Source organism: Homo sapiens, chromosome 17 (assembly GCF_000001405.40).
Source record: "Homo sapiens chromosome 17, GRCh38.p14 Primary Assembly".
NCBI lineage: Eukaryota > Metazoa > Chordata > Mammalia > Primates > Hominidae > Homo > Homo sapiens.
In genome coordinates this window covers 45,970,288-45,991,588 of record NC_000017.11, presented here as the reverse complement: position 1 = coordinate 45,991,588, position 21,301 = coordinate 45,970,288, and the positions used below count along the sequence as shown (strand labels likewise).

Here is a 21,301-nt window from a genome sequence, read left to right as displayed (position 1 = left end):
ACCAGAGCTGGGTGGTGTCTTTGGAGCGGGCGGGGTTTTTGCTGGAATCCTGGTGGCGTTGGCCTGGCCCTTCTGGCCTGGAGGGGCTGCTCCCCGCGGTGTGGCGATCTTCGTTTTACCATCAGCCCCCTGTAAATGAAACATGATAGAGGGGTTTTTCACCATTGGGAAAAGTTACTGCCACCAAGAGTCAACACCAGCCCCACTCCGCCACCTTGACTCAAAACGTGGCTAAGACTGGGGTGACCCTTTGCCTCCTAGATGCCACTAGTGTCTGCTACAACCACAAGGGCTTGCTGGGCACACAAACCCACATCCCCACCCAAACTCCAAGTTCCCTGAGGACATTTCCTCCCAGAGGAACTGTGTGCATTAGTTATCAGCATGAGTTGTGCCAAGGCCAGCAGAGCTCACAGCAATGATCAGGTCACTCTCCACTCCATGTCAATCATCGGCAGGACATTAGTGCACTACACATATGCAGACATCCATTTTCTGACTCTAATTATGGATTTATTTGGCTGATGGTGGTTGGCTCCACCAGAGGCCCCTGGGGGCAGTGTTGAACCTGACCAAGGATGCTAAAGAGAGCTAGGTCGTGTTCTTTCATTCTCTCGCAAACAACCCTAAGGCCTCAAGAACTCCTTGGGTGTGCTCAGACCAGGCGAGCACCCGAGGAGGCGAGCACCAGCATCACTGACAAAGCTGGCAGAGTCGGGCATGGCACAGTCTAGGGACTAGGGCAGTCCCTGGGTTCCGTTACCCAGCAGATGACCCTTAGACATAACACAAACTCAAAAAAGAAACTGACATTAACCAAGGACCACAAGCTAGTTGAGGGGGCAGTGAGCTCACGGGGCAGTGTTGCTATGGCGTGATGCTGTCCTACCCAGATCAGGGCAATCTGGAAGCATTTCTCTTGCCAAAATCAGGAATGGGCAAAGGAACCCAATGAGAGTAGCAATTTTGGGTTTGTTTTTTAAACAATTTTTGCGACAGGGTCTTGCTCTGTCGCCCAAGCTGGAGCTAACTACAACCTCTGCCTCTGGGGTTCAAGCAATCCTTGTGCCTCAGCCTCCCGAGTAGCTGCGATTACCACCACGCATACCACCACGCCCGGCTAATTTTTGTATTTTTAGTAGAGACAGGGTTTTGCCATGTTAGCCAGGCTGGTCTCGAACTCCTGATCTCAGGTGATCCACCCTCCTCGGCCTCCTAAAGAGCTGGGATTACAGGTGTGAGCCACCGTGCCCAGCCTTAGAGTAGCGATTTCGAAACCAAGGTCCCACCAGGTGTCTTAGGAGCTGCTGCTATGAGAGCCTGTGGGGTGCTGAGAGGGATGGCCCCCAGCTCTCTTTTCCCCTTTGCCCAGAATTCTAACTATTTTACACGGTGCTTCTATGCCAGAACTCATTTGAAGAAAGGTCTTTGAGGCTAAAAAACAAATAAACAAACCCCACATTTGCAAACCACAGCAGAGCAGCCTGGTTCTTTTCAAAGGTGGTTTCCTTACCTTGAGTTTCATCTCCTTTGCTCCAGAACTGCCAGTTCGGGAAGTGACAGAAGAGACGTATTTAGGAGAGGAAGGTGGCTCTGGGCACACAGCAGGGCTGGAGGGTTGGATCAGAGGGTCTGAGCTACCAGGAGTGGGGTGTTTGGGGCTAAGGCAAGGCCTATTTTTCAAGGTTTTAGCAGAGGAACGTGTGGATGTCTTAAACATAAACATAAATAAAATCAAAATAAAAGTCAGCACATGGAGGAGGGAAACAAACTGAAAAAAGGACAGTAACTAAAAATAAATAAGGCAGGTAATGGTTGAAAGCAGTGATCTCCAGGCTGTTTGAATCAGGTACCCTTAATATCCCTTCTGATCAGTAAGAACAGGAAAGTGACCGTCCTCCCCAATCACAGTTCTTTTTCTTTTTCTTTTTCTTTTTTGAGACGGAGTCTCGCTCTGTCGCCCAGGCTGGACTGCAGTGGTGCAATCTCGGCTCACTGCAAGCTCTGCCTCCTGGGTTCACGCCATTCTCCTGCCTCAGCCTCCCGAGTAGCTGGGACTACAGGCGCCCACCACCACGCCCGGCTCGTTTTTTTGTATTTTTAGTAGAGATGGGGTTTCACTGTGTTAGCCAGGATGGTCTCGATCTCCTGACCTCGTGATCCACCCGTCTCGGCCTCCCAAAGTGCTGGGATTACAGGCGTGAGCCACCGCGCCTGGCCCTGACAAAGCTTTTAGAAGAGGACATGAAAAAGGAATGGAAGTTCTAGTACGTTCTTTCTCCAGCCTGTTGGATGTTACTGTGCCCCTGAATTTGGAGACGACTGGTTTAAAGGTGCTTCACATGAGTAAGTTGATGGAGATCATCAAGGTACATGAATCTTAGGATGTTACTCAAGAAAATGTCCCCAAGTGTGTCACGGGGTCTGAAGGGCCTTACTTTCTACTCAATTCCAGGCAAGGTGCTTTTTTACCTGCCCATTAACCCATGGCCTCTTCCACCACACTGACAGACTCATATGGCTACAATCAGGAGTGTGCCCCCCCCAAGTTGGAAAGATTCTACCTGACTTAGGTTACACCCACCCCCACCACACATGTGCTTTCTGATTAAAGTCTCAAATCAAACTAATATTAACACTATCTGGTGAATCCTAATCTGGCCAATGTTAACTCTTTTGTTTGTTTGTTTGTTTGTTTGTTTTAGAGACAGGGTCTCCCTCTGTTGCCCTGGCTGGAGTGCAGTGGTGCCATCACGGCTCACTGCAGCCTCCACCCTTTGGGTTCAAGTGATCCTCCCACCTCTGCCTGGCCAATTAAATTTTTTTTTTGAGATGGGGTCTTGCTATGTTGCCCAGGCTGGTCTAGAACTCTTGGGCTGGGGACATCCTCCCACCTTAGCCTCCCAAAGTGCTGGGATTACAGGCATGAGCCACTGTGCCAAGCCTCCAATGTTATCTCTTTTTCTTTTTTTTTCAGTTTGTCAGTGTAAACAACACTGCTTACTTTTGAACCCATTCCACAAGAGGAAGCAGCCAGGGACGGGTGTCTGCACGCCTGTCCCTATGGAGGCGGGGCTGGGGGGGGCCCTGGAACCAGGATGCAGGATAGATGGTGACTGACACCCACAGTTCGTCCTGCCCGTGGGGGATTTTGACGGGTGGGCATGGCCCTGGAGGAGAAGGGGGTGTTTGGAGGGGAACAGGTCACACTCTCGGGAAACAAAGTGGGGAGGCTAAGCCTCGAAGTGTTTCCAAGAGCAAGTCAGAGCTCAGAGAAGGGTCCTGTCCCAGACTTCACTGGGCTTCTAGGGGATGCTATCTTATTGCTTTCCAATTCCCCATGGAAGCGGCCAAGGCCCTCTGTGTGGTCAGGCTTGGTAAGGAGGACCCAGGAGATGAAGTAGCAATGGGAGAGGAGGGACACAGGCTGGGGCCCTGGGGCTGATGACAAGAAAGCAAAGCTGGGGTGGGGGTATTGACGACTCCTCCTTCCCTCGCTGCACACGGCCCCTCTCCACCAGCAGCACTCCCCAGCTGGCCGAGGCCCAGGGTAATAGATCTTTCCCCTCCCTAGACTCTGGGCAACTCCAGGGCAGGGATGTTGTACCCATGTGTACTGAATGAATGAATGAAGGAAGGAACAAATGAATGCATGCATGCATGAGGCTGGTATTCCCTGCCCCCTGCCCCCAGCACTAAATGTGCACCGTGATTGACAAGCAGCTGTCACTATCACTTCAGAGACCCAGGCCAGCTCTCCAAATCCCCACAGGCCCTTCCACTGCCTCACTAGATGAGGCTGGGGAGCCCTGACTCTGCAGGCACTTCCGGGAGCAGCCCTCAACACACCACTGAATGCTCAGAGCTATGTGGCAACTGGAGATGCCCTCCGGGCTCCAGTACTGATTAAAATTCAGGTGTTTCAGACAGAATTTATGCTGGAAATTTTAGATACCTTTAAGAAAAATAGGTCTTATCTAGAGCCATGGTGGGATTTTCCAGGAAAAACGCCACTGTGCAATTACGGGAGCATTTCCCCAGACATTTCCCCAGTCATTGAGACAGTAAACAATGGGTGAAGTGAAATACTGAGAAGGATGGGCGAAGATCTGGGTGCAGTTTATGCAGTGAGAAGATGGCTTCATTTACTGTCCTAGGGCTGGTTTTCAAACACACCTTCATTTACTGTCCTGGGTTTGGTTTTCAAACACACCTTCATTTACTGTCAGGGTCTCACTGAAAGTACACTAAGAAAGCTGGAATTAGGAGCATGACTTCATGAACCTGCCAACTGCTCTTCCCTGGGGTAAGTATCAAAACTAATAAATGCTGGACTTTTTAAAAGCCTGCCCCAAAATACAAAGCACTTTAAATGACAGCTGTACTTTAGTGACAAATACTCCCCACATTATATATGAGAATGAATCAGACATAAAGCACAGCTTCTCTGTAAACTTGACCAGCTGCAGAGCTCCGTGGCATCGTCAGCTTACCTTGGCTTTTTTGTCATCGCTTCCAGTCCCGTCTTTGCTTTTACTGACCATGCGAGCTGATAAAATATAAAATAAGAATGCTTGTCACACTCCATTTTCACTGTTCACAGAAAGCCAGCTGTGGTGAAGCTGGATTTCTCTGGGATAGGTCCATGTTTGTTTAGTTGGGTCTGGTGGAAACCCAGTTGGTTCTCTTTTCCCTTGAATCTGCTAGGCCTCGCATTGTTAGTATCAACACAGCACACTGGGGTCACTGATTAGCGCAACCTGGCAAGAGGGGGCAGCAGGCTGGCCGAGGGTGGGACCATGCAGAGGGGACGCAGCAGAAACTGTCACGGGGACATGATGGCATGGAGGCTATCTAAGGAAGGTGCAGTCTCCCTAACCCACAGGCTCCTGCCCTGTTTCTGCCAGGGTCAGCCTCACCCCACTGGGACCAGCCCCACTCCATGGATGGGTGTTTTAAAAGCCTCAGGGCCATGGATGTTGGTAGCTCAGTGAGGACCCAGCCTCCTGCAAGATCCAAGGATGGGGGTGGGTGCATTGTCTCCACACTGCAGCCAGGCTTGGCCCTGATTCCCTGTGAGGTGCCTGCTCACCCTCTTGGCCTTGGAAACTGCCTGGAACCACCCGGCTCCCCTGCCCATGTGGCTAGATTGCCAGCAGTCCTGATTTCCACCTTCCTGGCCATCTTATGCTGACCAACCCATCTCCATTTCTGGTCACACGCCTCCAGAATAGGAGAGGCTGGCAGGGTTGTCTTTGTCCCCTAGTTGCTGGTTGTACCCCCAGGGCCTGCCCCTCACTAATGGTGGCTTTGGCCACCAGCCCCAGCTGCTCTGAGACGAGCCAAGCCCAGCCCAGCCCTGAGCCAGGCCTGGTGGGTTTCTTGCCACTTACTGGTCTTCAAAGGGCACGAATTCTCACTGCTTCCCCAAATTAGCTACAAACCAGTTACCATCATACATTCCCACAGACAACATCAGCCTTCATCACACTCCTTGGTGAAACCAACCCGCTGACCTGTCAGCCAGCATCAGCGCTAACTCACCCTTCTCCTTCTCTTGACAGTCACTGCTGAAAACTGATCATAGATTTTCTTCTTTGGTTTCAATATCACATTCCCTCTACCCCATGGACAACTGGGTCTCTTGGAGCTTCTCATTGGCTATTGTCACCTGGATTTCTAGAGGGACCAGCAATGAGTATGCCCAGAGGTTTTCCAACTATACTATGTGGCAGAATCACCTGCTAAAAGACTCCCAGGCTTACCCCACAACTGGGTCTGTAAGCCTAAAGTGGCACCTGGGAACCTGCACTTTAGTAAGAGCCCCAGGCGGATCTGACTCACGTGTTCTTTGTTTTGCCCACATCAACCAGCACCATCCACGGCACAACAAAAGAATCTGCTAAATCGGCATTTCCCAAACTTCCTCCAGGAAATGTTAGCAGGTAGAATCAAGTAAGTTTGGGAAACCCACTCTGTGACCTTCTCAGAGGGTCACAATGGCCATTAGTACATTAAAGGCTCTGACAAGTCCTGCAGCAGAAAAGCCTGTTTAACTTACTTTAGTCTTTTATTTTTTTCCCCCAGTCACTGGGCCATGGAACTCTTTTTTAATCCAAACACACCTATGAACCTCTAGTAGGCCAGTATTCAAGAAAACATCATTTCAGGAAATATTGTAGTAACCTGTCAAGTCAGTTATTTGTCCCCTACTGTTTTGGAATTTAACAAAGGATATAGGATATATTTTTTTCTCTCTTAACTTTATTTTATTTTATTTTTTGAGACAGAGTCTCACTCTGTCGCCCAGGCTTAGGGTACAGTGGTGTGATCTTGGCTCACTGTAACCTCTGCCTCCTGGGTTCAAGCACTTATCCTGCTTCAGCCTCCCCAGTAGCTGGGACTACAGGTGCCCGCCACCACGCCCAGCTAATTTTTTGTAATTTTAGTAGAGACAGGGTCTCACCATGTTGGCCAGGCTGGTCTCGAACTCCTAACCTCAAATGATCCACCTGCCTTGGCCTCCCAAAGTGCTGAGATTACAGGCGTGAGCCATCGCCCCCAGCCTCTGTCTTAACTTTTAAACACAGGCTTCTTTATAGCATTTCAAAGTTTTCCCTAAAAGTAAAATCTAATAAAAATTTAACAGATGCTTGCAACTGTGAGCTTCAGTAACATCCATTTCTGGGCTCTGCAAATAACTGTGAAATGCTAAGGGTCCCAAATTTATGAACAAGCTCGCCTTGTGGCTCTGAGGTCTCCTGTGGGACACCAACTCTCCTCTCCCTGATACTTGGGACTCTCCTCCCACCAATCCCTCCCTGCAGGGCTGCTGTGGTCGTGCTCCTGAGGGCTCAAGGTGGGCCCTGCTCAACCCCCTCCAATGCCAGCATGAGGATCCCCTTGTCCTCTGCAGAGGGAGGTGGTGGCATGTGGACCAGGGAGATCTTGTGTCTGCTCCTTGTCTTCCTGCCACAAGGCAGAGTGGGTGGGGGCAGGGCACTGGGCCAAAGGCACAGCATGAGCTCTGGGCCACCTCTGGATGCTGTGTGTGTCACCTGCTGTGTGTGCCCTGCACATCTCTGTGTTAGGCGTCCACACTCCAGCACCTCCTGGGAGGCGTTGTGGGATGCAGGACAGGCGTGTCTTTCAGAGACAACCTACCTGGATCCCAAACCTGGCTCTGTCACTTACTACTCATTGGCCTTCGGCAAGTTACTGTACTTCTCTGAGCCTCCGTTTCCTCATCTGCAAAGTGGGGCTGCTTATGCCTACATGGGAGGGTTGGAGAGTTCTAGACACCATGAGGGCACCCGTCATCCTGTCGGTGGAAGGCACCCACCAAACCTCCTGTGGGCTGATGGGCCGTTGTGGACAAATCAAGTGGCCAGAGAGTCAAACAAGGTGGGTAGCACGGAGCGGGGGTGCTGGTGACATGCAGAGTGGCGGGCAAGCGTGAGGGGCGCGTGCGGCCACAGCCTGAGCACGGGAGGAGGCCGAGGGAGTGGAGCAGCTGCACCCAGGTGTCGATTTAGTGGCGTCCTAGGAACGTCAGAAGCAGCAGGAGTCGGGAGGCCTGGAAGCTCAGTGGCAGTGCCCGCAGCCTGGGAGGCCTGGGAGGTCCCCAGGGAAGGAGCGAAGAAGCTCAAGACACAGACCTTTGAGTTGAGGGACCCGGCTGACGGGCTTCCCCCGCGGAGCAGCAGCAGGCTGCTTTTCAGAGGGCTCTGGAAGGTCAGCCTCTTTTGTGTCCTCTCCCAAAGAGGGGCCCCGGGCCTCTGGCCCCTCTCCAGGGGCCCCTGGAAATGCAGCCCTTCCCAAATGCTCCTCCGAGTGCGCCTGCTCCTTCTGCACGTTGGGTGTGATTTCCACGTGAAACGTGAACTCCAGGGGGGCATCCTGCCCTTTGGCCCGCCCTACACTGGGCCCGTCGGGCTCTGAGGCTGGGATCTCTGTGGAAACTTTGGAGAGGAAATCCACAGGGAGGGGGATGGCACCCTCCGCTGGGAAGCCTGGGATGCTGGTGGCTTCTCTGGCGGCTGTCTGGGGAGGCCGCCCATCTTGGGCTGGGGAGGCCTTGGAGGGAGGGGAGTCTTGGGGGGAGGACTCATCGACGTCGCGGTCTTCATCCACCTCCTCCTTGCTCCCCGGCCTCTCTTTGCCCCCTGCCCCCTTCAGCGGCGGCCCCTCCTGGTGCAGGTCTCCTAGAAGCTGGTGCTTGAGCAGCTCAGGGGCGTGGCGGCCGCCCTCTGTGTCCTCAGGTCCTGTCCCCGAAGGTTGGCGTGTGGCCTCTCTGGGGCCCTCAGGCAGGAGGGGAGCCCCAGGCATGCCGGACATGAGCTGGTGGCTCAGACCTGGGGGGCCTGGCTCTCGGAGGAAGCCTTCCTGGACCACCTTACCACTTTCAGGCTCTGTGTGGAGATACGCAGTGGTGGCGGGCTTCGGAAAGGCCGGACCCTTCTCGGCCCAGTCCCCGCCTTTTTGTCCCCACTCCAGGGAGGGCTCCTGAGGGCCTCCTGTTGGAGGAGGCGCTGGGCAAACGGGACGGTGCTGAGGAAGGCTCGCGGTCAGCGGGACGGGAGCTTCTGGCTCTTTCTCCCCGAGGCACGGCCCAGAGACCCCAGAGGCCTCTCCGCAGGGTCCAGGCTGGACGTGGGCGCTAATCTCATTGGCCAGGGGCCTTTCAGGCGCCTTCCTCTGCCGGCCCGGAACTCTCAACTCCTCTGGTTTGAAGAGGCAGCGATAGCAAAAGGTTAGCAAGGGCGCATTAATCGCTTAAGAGAGGGAGCATCATCCTGGACAAAATGACACTGAGAGGGCATCCCAGGCCCCCTAACAAAGAGATGGGAGCACAGCTCTGGGCTCGTCTCGTTGCCTTTGCTTGCTTGGAATGACAGCTCTCCTGGTCTAGCCGCCACCAGCTCGCTAGGTGGCTCTCCCCTCTCTGGGCCTCAGTTTCCTCATCTGTAAAGAGGGTTCTTGGACGTGGTGACCTCCGAGGGCCCTTCTGGTGTGGGTGTTATTCCTCTGCCTATGATGGGCTCTGGTTGGGCACAGAGCATGTCACACATCTGGAGCCGCCCTGGGCTTAATCTACTGGGAAAGCGGGAGGGCTACAGAAGCTTCTCCTGCTTTCTAGGGAATTTGAGCCTCCCAAAGATTCTAGCCTCTAGATGGTATCTGGTTTGGGTGTAGCGAGAATCCCCTTTCCTCTCCCTACCTCTCACTGTTCTCCTGCCCCCGCCCCCCACCCCTTTTTTTTGGTTTGAGACAGAGTCTCACTCTGTCGCCCAGGCTGGAGTACAGTGGCACGATCTCAGCTCACTGCAACCTCTGACTCCCTGGTTCAAGCGATTCTCCTGCCTCAGCCTCCCGAGTAACTGGGATTACAGGCACGTGCCACCACACCTGGCTAATTTTTGTATTTTTAGTAGAAACGGGGTTTCACCATGTTGGCCAGGATAGTCTTGATCTCCTGACCTCGTGATCTGCCCACCCCGGTCCCCAAAGTGCTGGGATTACAGGCATGAGTTTTTTTTTTCCTTTCTTTCTTTCTTTTTTTTTTTTTTTGAGACAGGGTCTCGTTCTGTCACCCAGGCTAGAGTGCAGTGGTGCAATCACAGCTCATTGCAACTTTAACTCCAGGGCTCAAACAACCCTCCCATCTCACCCTCCCAAGCAGCTGGGACCACAGATGCATGCCACCACGTCTGACTAAAATGTTATTTTTCATTTTTGTGGAGACGGGGTCTCCTTATGTTGCTCAGGCTGGTCTCGAACTCCTGGGCTCAAGCAATTCTCTTGCCTCTGGGATTACAGGGATGAGCCACCATACTTGACTTCTGCTCCCCTTTTTGGTAAATGAAACCAGTGAAACTAGTGCCCACAAACCCCGCCTCAAGCCCATTCTCTGACAGATTTGGAAAATCCAAAATGTGTGATCATCAAGAATGGAGTCTTTACTGAGAGACCTGCCATAAGACTCCTCGAAAAAGAAGCCCCATTCAGATCTATCCAGGTCACTGACCACAGACAAGCCCTTGGCACAGGTGAGGTAGGCCCCCGTGGGAGGAAGGGCTCTGCACGGCAGACAGTGACGGCCCTCAGGACCACTGCTGTCCCCTGGTCACACAGCTTGCTGCACACCAACCCAGCTGATCAAGGGCACACTTCATTTTTTTCTGGTTCATTCACGTGACATTCATTAACCTGGCCGCATATTAAGAACAGGAGAATTACACTCCTTGGTTCTCCTAATAAATACCCTTTATGTTTTTTAACTCCCAACTCTTTGAACACCCCATCTAGTCCCAATGCAACAACCTATGCAACTCACCAGCTCTGCTTTAAACAAAACCTGCAGCCCTGAAGGATTCAGGGGCTTGGAAAAGAAAGAGATTTGGATGAGGTCGGGGAGGAAGGTGTGGTCATGGACACACAAAGGTAACCTGTGGGCCCGACCCCATCGGAGGCAAGGTGGTTGACATGGGCTCATCCCCAAGAGGCCCGGTCAGAGCGCAGCAGCACCTCCAGCCTGTGATACTGGCCATGCTCATGGGCCCCTCCAATTCCTGTTCCTGGCATCGACCACAGTGCATGCCACACAGCAGGTGGTTAAATCAATGGATCCTGCACAGATCAACTGGTGTCAGGAAAACATTGACTTCAGCTTCTCACAGGCTCTGCAGGTGCCTTATGGGAGCCCTTTGTCAGTCTCTGGGAAGAACAGCCCAGAGGCAACCCTGAGCCTGAGCGCCAGAACTGACCAGAGGCAGGGGCTGCCCCTATGCTGCCCCAACAGGACAGGTCTCCACTGCCTTCCGGAAGTCGCTTTCCTCCTAGAGCTTACTAGAGTGCTCTTGACTGGGATGTTACTGTACTCTGATATAATACAAGACTTTAAGAAACACTATTAAAAAAGAGACAAGGACCCCAAACGTAAATAGTAAATGTACCTTGAAAAGTAATGGATACAGGATTGTAGTGTGTGTGTGTGTGTATCAATGAGGAAACTGACATGATTAATTACACCCCTGGAGGAAGAAGCCAGGTTAGGAGAATGTTCTTTTTTTTTTTTTTTTTAAACAGAGTCTCACTCACTCTGTCGCCCAGGCTGGAGTGCAGTGGCATGATCTCGGCTCACAGCAACCTCCACCTCCCAGGTTCAAGCAATTCTCCTGCCTCCTACTCCTCCCATGTAGCTGGGATTACAGGTGTGTACCACCATGCCTGGCTAACTTTTGTATTTTTAGTAAAGACGGGGTTTCACCATGTCAGCCAGGCTAGTCTTGCACTCCTGGCCTCAAGGGATCTGCCTACCTTGGCCTCCCAAAGTGCTGGGATTACAGACATGAGCCACCGCACCCAGCCTGGTTGGGAGAATGTTCTATTGATTCCCTAGGATGCTAGGAAGTACTCAGCAAATACTAAATGTAGCAATTCTCAGGGGTTAGGAGGAGTTCAAGATAAATGAGTATTGTAAACACAGTAGTCCAGGTAAGTTAAGCCCCCATGCCCTCTTCAGGAGGCCTGGTCTCTGGACACTTACAGAAGAAAAGTCCACCCCTCGTATACAGGCCTTCCCATAGCTTACTCTCAACAGACTGCAGCTCCAACCTGAAACACCTTTTTCCATCTTACTAATAGGTACTTTATCCCTCCATGATTCCAGGCTGCTGTCAGAAAGCTTAAAATTCAGTGAGCACAAAAGTCAAGTTCCCAGCAAAGACGGTGACCTGGGCTTTTTTTGTTGCATGGAATATGTTCTGGGGGCATGTAGACATCACCTGCACTAACAATCAGTAGAAAAAACTCAAACCCACTTCCATTTATGAAAAGCAATGATTTCTAGAGGTCATGCTTTATCAAAGCCTCTAGTTTTACCTAAGCTGAAAAACATGACCTAAAAGAAACAGGAGCCAGGTTCCTAGTTAATTTCACACATTGACTGAGGTTCTTCTCTTATAGCCACTGTCCCTTCTAATAGTTTTTGAAGCTCTTTGTTAGCCTGAGAACGAAAATGTGCCTTTCTGTGCCATGTGACATGAGAAACATCAGCCTGCTATAGGCTGTGACCTCTCTGGGGGCAGGAATGTGTAGTTAGGCCTCAAAATATCCTCAACGAGGCAGAGTCTCCTAGAATCAGATGGCCTCAGAGGCAGCTCTAAATACTGGACAGATCCCATCACTCGGGAGAAAAGAACAGTGTCTTTCCAGCCCTTCTGCAATCTAGAAGCTTCCACATTTTACAGTAGGCTCTCAAGTTCATTTATCTAGCAAATGACAGAAAACAAGCCCAGCCCACATTATATCAGTACCATAGGTCTCCCATTTCCTAAAATTAGGAATCTCTAGGATTTTTCTTAAGATATTTATGATAAATGATTACACAAAGCTGCCTTTCTTGAATACAGCAGTTTGGTTCCTGAGAAGAAAATCATAATAAGGGTTGAAGGCTGCACAGAAGAAAGTTTACAAGCAATCGCTTGGGGATGACATGGTTAAGGCCTTGCTCCTGGATCAGCCACAGGGCAGCCTGCAGTGAGAATCGCCTGTCACACATATTTGAGTTTCTTTTTTTTTTTTGAGACGGAGTTTTGCTTTTGTTGCCCAGGCTGGAGTGCAATGATGCGATCTCGGCTCACTGCAACGTCCACCTCCTGGGTTCGAGCGATTGTCCTGCCTCAGCCTCCTGAGTAGCTGGGATTATAGGCACCTACCACCACACCCGGCTAATTTTTTTATTTGTAGTGAGACAGGATTTCACATGTTGGCCAGGCTGGTCTCAAACTCCTGACCTCAGGTGATCTGCCCACCTGGGTCTCCCATAGTGCTGGGATTAGAGGCGTGAGCCACCAGGCCCGGCCTAGAGTTTCTGTTAGACATTCATTCTCAACTCCCAGGCTGGACAAGGCTAGCATCTTTCAGAACACTAAATGCCTTAGGAATTACCCAGAAATGGTATTAGAAAAAAACCACTAGGGCTCTTTCTATATCTGAGTAGCCAACCTTTGATAAGAACCAACTCCCTAAAATCTCCTGGACTTGTGAATTAGAGCTCAGGTCCAAATGATCTTTTCAGGGCAGAGCCCACCCCATGTCCCTCCCCCCAACCCCCAAGTCATGGCAGGCAATTCCAGTTCACTGACCTTGGGTCACGTGACCAGCAGCTTCGTCTTCCAGGCTGGGGGTGTCTCCAATGCCTGCTTCTTCAGCTGGTGTATGTGTCAGCAAATGAAGGGGGGTAAAAGCAAGACAGTTATTGTTTACTAGAAACCAAGCTCTCTGTACCTTCGGGCATTTTCCCTTAAACATTCAGGAAAGTCACATCCCAAGAATACCAAGGTGCCTCAGCTCTGGCTTCTCTGCAAATGTCATTGCTGAGGATGCTGGTGATAAAAGTTCACTAAACAAAAGGCACAGCACCCACATGCAGGTGTAGCTATGACCTAGTAGGAAAGACTTTCTCCACTTTGGGACCAGGGTCCTGAATGCCTCACTCAACAAGGACACACAGGCTGAGTGAGGTCAGAGAAGCAATTTGCTGCTGAGCCATGGTTGTGGAGGCTGTGTCTAAGCAGTGGCTGCTGGGAAGTTCAAGGAAAGACTTTGCCTGGGTTGCGGAGTCAGGCAGATGGGGTTCATATCCAGGCACCGGCATTCATTCAACCTCTCTGAGCCTCCATTTCCTCATCTTGAACCCCAAGATGAAGATACTAGTTTGTCTTGTAGAAGGATGGTGAGGGTTAGTAAGAGAATTTGTGTGAACACGTTTAGCCTGGTGCCTGGCATATGGTAGGTGCCCCAAAATGTTACATTTCCTTCCTCCCAACTTCTGGGCAAATGCCTTTCGCAGAATGTCCTGAACGGGTGCTACTTGGTAAGAGGGAGGCTGGCAGTGCTGGTGAGCAGCTTTTGGGGGTGTCTTGGGTTCCTGTTTAGGAAGCCACAGCTCACCCCAAACAAGAAAGACTGAGAAAGTTCCTGACCACATTAATAGTACCAAAATCAATAGGCTTTAAAAACACCTATTTCTGCATCATAAACAACAGGACACTGTTACAGGACAGTGCACGCAATTGTCCAGAAAAAAAGTTTATAAGGCAAGTTGGCCACGTTGACATGCATTGACCTCAGGCCACCAGAATCACCAGCATTTCCTGAGGACAATGACAGAGGCCACTGCCTCTGAGAAATCCATACATCTTGCTGGCTGGGCCATCAGTCTTATCTCCCAGGCCTGCAATGAGTCAGTCACTCTCTGCACCTAAGATAGGAATGCCGGATCCCCACCGCTGGCCAGCACAGGCCTGTGTGAAGAGTGTAGGCAAGGGAGAGAAAGGTTCTCGAGTTTCCTGGAAGCCATGTGGTAGCCTCAGAAACACCCAGGCCATTGGCTGTCCCCAGGCAGCTGCTGAGGGCATGGGAGGGCGGGCAATGGGCTCACGGGGCTCCCATCACTAGCACTAGCATGACACAGACACCCTCCGGGTCCATCCAGCCGACACTGCGCTACCCACGATGCCCAGTGGTGACAGTGCCTTGTCATGTGACAATATCGCTGAGCAAGTGTTGGCTCAACTGCCTGGGCACAACTCTGAGTGCAGATTCGGCCTGAGTTTCTGACAAGGTGATGGCAATGGCAGAAAGGCTCAGAGCTACAGCAAGTCCAGCTAAATGCCAGAGTCCTTGAGACAGAGGGTGTGAGGAGGCTTCCTCGGACACGGTCACTGCCACGGCACTGGGTGAGTTGCCTTGCTGTCACACACAGTGCAGAGCTGCGATAGCCAGGCCCGGCTTGAGTCAGAAATTGGACGCTGCACTGTCTTTGCCACCCCTTGACCCCAGAAAGGGAGCTGCTTGGGAACACCATGGAGGGAGGTTGGGCCTCACATCACTGCTGGCCTCTCTGTACCATGGGGAGTGTTTTACAAGAGCCAGGAGGGCCCTGTGCTCTCCAGCAAGGCAGGAACCTGCAAGGGGGTGGCCACACTGCACCCCAACTGGATGGCCCATGGGGAGTTTCACTGGAGCGCCAAGAACAGCAAACAGGATAGGCCAGAGCGAGGTGCCAACTAAGGTCTGCATTGTCAGTAGCTGAAGACACATGCACCCAACTCTAGAACCTCCCCACCACATGGAGGATGTAAAGGGATCTTTAGGAGGATTTCCTTGGAGAGAGTGGCTTGGGGGTGGTGGGGGTGGCTACATGGCCACCCCCCATCACAGTCCCAGCACAACTGTTTCAAGGCAATACATTGAGGACACCTGGTGTGTGTCCCCTCTGGTTAGGGACCTGGTGGACTGTGGTCAGGGCCCCACCAAGGAACACTAGAGGATGGAAGATGGGCTGGCCTTGCTTTGGGGGCAGAGCAAAGGACAGGTGCTGCAGCCCTGAGAACCGTCTGCACACCCACAGTTTGCTTGCCAGCGTGTTTCCCGTGGGCCCCATGTGGGCACAGGTCAGAGTGCATGGGAGCCTCAGATCATGTTTAAGAGGTGGCAACTAGCAGGACCTCAGAGGTGAGGCTGCAGCCAGATCTTCAGACTCCCACGGGGCCGAGGAGATGACATGGCCACCAGAATCCAGCGCAGCAGAAGGGCTCTTCAGGGGAGGATAGCTGGAGATGGCAGGCTGGGGTAAGAGTAGAAGAATTCAAATAAGGTCCCCATGGAGACAGAGAGAGAGAGAGTCTCCTTGAAACCTCTGCAGGGAGTGTGACGCAGCTCACACCAGGACCAACTCAGTAAGAACCTTCCTGTTTCTCTTACCCCTCCCCTCCCTGCCAGCCCTCGAGGGGAATGGCTGCAACTTTGAATGGAGTTAGAAGCTTTGACTGTCACATGGGACTGGCTGTTCTAATTATTTAGCTTTTGCACACTGTTTTGCCACTGTGGAGACTAATGTACTTTCAACTACTTTGGAGTGATGGAAAAGTCAAGAGTTGGCTAGAGTTTTCATTCTGGGCAGGGGAGGGATTTCCCTCAGTGAAATAACTGTGAAGGGAGAGGAGGAGAGAAACTCAAGTTCCCTGTGATCTCATCCTGTGATCATGCCACAGTCTTCAAACGTCCTTCACGTTCAAGGATGAGGCTCTGCCCCAGCTTCGAGGACATCCCCTCTGCCCATCTCAGGGGACTTCACGGATCAAGTCACAAAGCAGAAATGCACTCAGAAGGGGCCAGGGTGGGGCTGCTCTCAACACACAGAGCCCTAGAGAATGCTGCAGGCTTCCCCAGTAGCTGCAGGGAGTACCATCTTTAGGAGGGAAAGGAAACTCTTTTCTGGCCACATCTTCTCTACTCTCCACTGCTGGTGAAATCCTGGCTAGGCCTCTTCTGCATTTCTTGTTGGGCAACTGGGCACCCTCCAAATCACCAAACCAATGGCTGGCATCTTTACGTAAGTGCAGTGAAGAAGACATGAAGGAAATGACTCCAGGAGCTCCAGGCTGTGCAGGCGTTTCCTAGGGCCTGGTGGGCTGAGCCACTCTTGGGTGACTGCAGCCTTGAGCCCGGCGCCCTGTCTGATTGATTCCCCATCACCCATGTTGACAAGGCATTCTCGTCATGCCTGTTCTACATGAATACGTTTGAAAAGGAGACAGAGTCCCAGAACTGGATGCTAGATTGCATGTCTGAGCTCCTCTGGGACCACCTCATTAAGATCACCAAAAGGTGTGGTCCAGTCATCTGCACCCTCTGTGCGCTCAGGTGATCTTGGGGTCCACCCCTTGGGAGGTGACCCTGTGCTGGGCAGTCTGAGCAGGAGGGTGGACTGACCTCAGGTGTCAAGAAGGCACGGGTCTGCCACCACCTGCCCCAGAAAACCCTGCAGAGAAGTCTCTGGAACTGACGCGCTGACTGAGGCAAGATGAGGAGCATCTAGAAGTCCAGAAGGCCCTAAATGCTCTGAGAGGCTGGCAGGCAGCCAGGGAGGTAACTGAGCACCAAGGCATCGAGCTACTCACAACCCAAGATTCCCAGGAGCCAGAATCCACCCATGTTCCTGCCCCACAGGAGGATAAACACGCAAAGCTCCCTCACTTCTGTCACAGGTCAGCTGGGGCACCCAGCAGGGCCTTGACTGCCTGGGGGTCTCTGGGGCTTACCCTCACCTGTGGTTCCTTCTGGGATCTCCGTGTGGGGCTGCGCGGCAGCCTGCTTGCCGGGAGCTCCCTCATCCACTAAGGGTGCTGTCACATCTAGAAACCACCGAGATCCACCTTAGAGGGGCCAGGACGAGCCATACCCAGCCCCTCACCTTTGCTTCTTGCGCAGGAGCAATGCAGGGAGGAGGAGTGAGGAGGGGATCAGCCATATGCCAGAAAGCAGCCCTGAAGTAGGGCCCGGAGCCCCTGCTACCAGCTCCCCAGGAAGCACACTGACATGCTGCTGAGTGGTTCTGGCTCATGAACCGCCCAGCTCATCCACCAGGAAAGCCCGGCAGCCCTGTGTAAACGCTGCAGTGAAACAGACTGCTGGGCATGGCCCCAGGCATTTTAAAAGAAGAAATACTGAAAACCAGATGATTGCTTACAACTATATGATCCTTAAGACAGCACAGGGACTCTGGGGTTAGTGCGGGGGCCTATGGTTTTGCTGTGAGGCTTTGGGCAAGTCCTTGGTCCATTTTGATTGGACGGTTTCCTCATCTGCAAAATGGCAGTGTCATCTCTAGGTGACTTCCAAGACTTCTCCCAGCTCTAACCCCTAAATCCAAGCCCATGACCCACAATTCAAAAGTGCAGAGTCCCTTGCATGGCAATAAATAGGTCCGCTCCTGTCCAGAGTCAGGCATTTGACTGTTGGATGGGTCCACCTTCACAGCAGAGGCAGGAGGGAAAGCTCGGCTACCAGGAGCTGCTGTCAGTCTCTCATCAGGTAAATGCTTCCAAATCAGCGTCCCTCCCGAGCAATGCCCTGGCACACTCCCAGGCCTTTCCGGGTACACATAAGGAGTTGTCAGCTTTGAAGGCTTTCCAAGTTCAATGAAGGACATTTTAATTATGGTTGTCTTGGGTGCAGGCGGAGCAACCAGGCAAGATCCCAGCCCCAGCAGTGTTCCCTCCACCAGGGGTGGGAGCCAATGCTCTTGAGTCTCATGCCTGCACAGGGTCCAGAGGGCATTGCGACTTGTTTGGGAGATTCTTCCAGAATCCTGTTGAGGGAGCACTGAGAGTCAAGGCTTGGGAAGCTGGCATGAGGTCTGGCATCGTTTTGTAGACTTTCTCAGGATGGCAGGCAACTTGTAAAACCGTCCCGACAAGATGAGCAGGAAGTGTCTTGCATCACTGGCTCTAAGAAGGAGCCAAGAGAATCTGATCTGGATATTCTCATGAGGCTAAGAACCTCAGCGGCAAGGCCCATGCCTGCTGCGTCCTCTAAAGCTGTAGCATTATACCAAGCAAGAGGCGGGCACTTGACAGCCATTTTCCAAATTAATCCAAAGGTGGATGCTTGGGGAGACACTTGGGCCAGTTTTTCACCCCAAGACACAAGATCCAAATGAACGTGCAGAGCCTGAAGAAGTACTGAGAAAGGAACCTTGAAACTCCATGGGGAGGATGGAAAGATAGAGGGGCAGATACTGCCAACTAGTGACTCAAAAGCCACTATTAACGTTCTTCCCCCTTGGTTTATTCTGCTAAAGAGGTTGGACGGCAAAATGCTCAATGTCCCAGCCTTGCTCGCAGCAAGGGGTGGCCGTAAGACCCAGCTCTGGCCAATGAGACATAAGCAGAAGATTGCCACTTGCAAGAAAACTCCTGCTTTCCTAAGGGGACACATTTAGTTTCAGGGCCCTTTTGGCCACTTTACTTTGCAACTTGTTCCTGCTTCAAAGGCAGATGTGATGCCTGGAAGTGCAGCAGCCACTTTGTAACCATGAGGCAACAATCCAACCACTAAAGATGACAGAAAATAAAGACAGGAGAGCATCAATGACCCTTGAGGTGCTGGCCAAGTCTAGACATCTGATTATGTGAGAAAAGTAAACCTCTTCATGTAAATGCCACAGTTAGTTGGGGTTTCTGTTTCTTACAGCCAAATGCAGTCTTGACTGACACAGATGGGAAGCAAGAGAAGATGGTCAAAATCAGGACTGAGGAGCATGTCAGAAAGTATGCGAGGTGCTAATAACCTAGATGCCGAGTGTCTGGAAAGGACAGGTTAGGAGAAGGGCTGGAACAAACACCGTGGCCAAAGTCCAGAGGCCCAGGCCACACCCAGAGCCCCCAAAATGAAGGATACTAAACCAAGATCAGATGTCCACTGACCTGCCCCTTCCCTCAGCCAAATGGCTGCTCTGGGACCTACTGGCCCCTGAAGAAAGAGAGAGGAGGGGGCTTTTGAAGGGGGTGTGGGAGGACAATCGTATGGAGCGGGGCTTTGTGGAGCTGTGCGCGGGACTGTCCAAGGGTGGCTGCCTCCAGAGCACACACGGGATGAAGGTGCCCACACTCAGCACCAGCAAGCAAGGCATCGACGCAAGGCTCAGCTCCCACCACGCTGTCCTGCAAAGCACCGAAGGAGTGAGCACATCTCTCAGCCAGGGGGAGCAGCAGATGCAGCCAGGAGGGAGGCTCAAAGCACGGCTAAGCACAGGCTGGAGGCATGGAGGGGGCGTCTGAAGGGGGGCCCACCTTCCGCTGTTGGAGTGCTCTTAGCATCAGAGGTTTCAGAGCCCGGTTCCTCAGATCCGTCCTCAGTGGGGGTCTGCAGGGGAGATTCTGGAACACATACAGTGAGCCCTCAGAACGGTGGCCTCTCCCCAGCGCCCCCTTTTGTTCTCAGGAGGAACTGGGGAGCAGTGTCCTGTGGAGCTGAAAATCGCTCCCTGTGGAAACAGCTGGAACACGGCCTCGCAACAAACCCACAAAGGGGACCAACCCCACCTCCCTCCCTGCCAACACGACTGTGCCCCACACCAGGGCCATCAGATGAGGACACAGGTGATGTGCGTTTGCTCCTGGGTGAAAGGACAAAGTGCCTCTTAACCAGCTAGTGGTGCCACCTGAGGCAAAGGTTTATCTTCCATTGGTCAACGGGCAGCAAATACCAGAAAGCCGAGCTACGCATGAACCTTCTGCTTTGTCATTGCTATTAATTAACAACAAGTAGACACCTGGAAAAACACTCAGCGATCCAACCCCTTCCTTGGAAAAGGAGTCAGCTCAGGGCAGACACGGTGCTTACTTCTAAGTGGACATTGGGTGGTGTTTGGACGCCACCAAGCTCCTTTCATAGAAAGACCTCCAAGGACTGATGGACAAGCTGTGAGTTACATTTGAAATGGCAGCCATGTGTACCTACAATAAAACTGTCCTTTCAGAATGGGAAGCCTGGGCAAGAGAGGCCCAAATGATCACAGTGGTTGACAGTCACGCCCTCCACCAAGAATGTCCTTAGTAAGGCAGCTTTTGTTGCCTTAATAGAAATGAGAAAACTACCTCCTCCTCCTCCTAGAAGGGCTGAATTGTCCCTTCCCTGTGGCACTTTGGCCACTGGGAGTCAATCTGCCCTGGTTATTTTATGGGCTTATCAATGCATCATGCAGTATCCAGGGCTGAGCAGGTCAAGGCCTTACACTCTGGAAGGTTGAGAATTCTTGAGAGCCCAATGTATACAGAGCTGAGTGCTAGGTACTGGGAAGGGACAAAATGCTCAGAAGATACAGCCTGTGCTCTGGGAGCACACACTCTCCTGAGGGAGGAAGGATGGCCACACAGAGCAAAAGACTCCAGGGCAGGCCCATGGCCAGCCGATAGGGTCCTCCTGGAGATGCCCCACCAGGAAGCAGGAGTTACAGGCTAGAGAGCATGGGACCAAGGGGCAAGATGGCTGGGTTCAAGTCCCAGTTCCACTTCTTTCTGGTCAGGTGGCCTTGGACCTGCCTCTCAGGGCCTCCGTTTCCTCATCTGTAAAATGCGTGAGATGACCTCAACTCTACCTGCCTCCTCCTAGAGCTCCTGGGAGAATCCCATGAGTGAATGTTGGTAAAAGCACCTTCAAATCATGAGGATTTATACATGTGGATCTAGTTCTCATCCATGTAAAGGAGGCAAATGTTTATGGGGGCAGCCCTGGGCTTCCCTTCAGTTCTGCCCCACCTGGGCTGTCCACAGGGGACCATCGTGGTAAATCATGGCTCATACCATGATGGGTGGACGGACGGATGGATGGATGAATGGGTGGATGGATGGATGGATGATTGGATGAATGTATTATTGGATAGATGACTGGATGGTGGGTGAATTACTGAATGATTAGATGGATGTATAATTGATGTATAATTATATGG

At 52.1% G+C, this 21,301-nt stretch overlaps 1 protein-coding gene across 29 annotated transcripts in view, besides 1 other annotated feature; it reads right to left on the bottom strand.

Moving 5' to 3' along the window:
- MAPT (microtubule associated protein tau) overlaps positions 1 to 21,301 on the bottom strand; it is a 133,781-nt gene that overhangs the window by 36,746 nt on the left and 75,734 nt on the right. For 3 of the 29 annotated variants that reach the window (NM_001123067.4, NM_001203251.2, NM_001377267.1), the window contains exons 3-6: positions 19,644 to 19,730; positions 13,149 to 13,214; positions 4,494 to 4,549; positions 3 to 129 (exon numbers count right to left, since the gene is read on the bottom strand). In NM_001123067.4, coding sequence (NP_001116539.1) covers positions 3 to 129; positions 4,494 to 4,549; positions 13,149 to 13,214; positions 19,644 to 19,730 — 336 coding nt within the window. Of the gene's footprint in view, positions 1 to 2; positions 130 to 1,513; positions 1,712 to 4,493; positions 4,550 to 7,658; positions 8,724 to 13,148; positions 13,215 to 17,117; positions 17,205 to 19,643; positions 19,731 to 21,301 lie in introns of all 29 variants that reach the window. The other 26 variants (NM_001377268.1, NM_016834.5, NM_016841.5 and 23 more) reach the window with 13 other exon arrangements.
- Positions 2,589 to 2,780: a silencer, noted in NCBI's record as "fragment chr17:44066175-44066366 (GRCh37/hg19 assembly coordinates)". NCBI's record gives its function as "represses an EF-1alpha promoter that drives an FKBP-Casp9 reporter gene in an ReSE screen in phorbol 12-myristate 13-acetate-treated (for megakaryocytic differentiation) K562 erythroleukemia cells {active_cell/tissue: K562(+PMA)}" and the evidence as "EXISTENCE:reporter gene assay evidence [ECO:0000049][PMID:32094911]".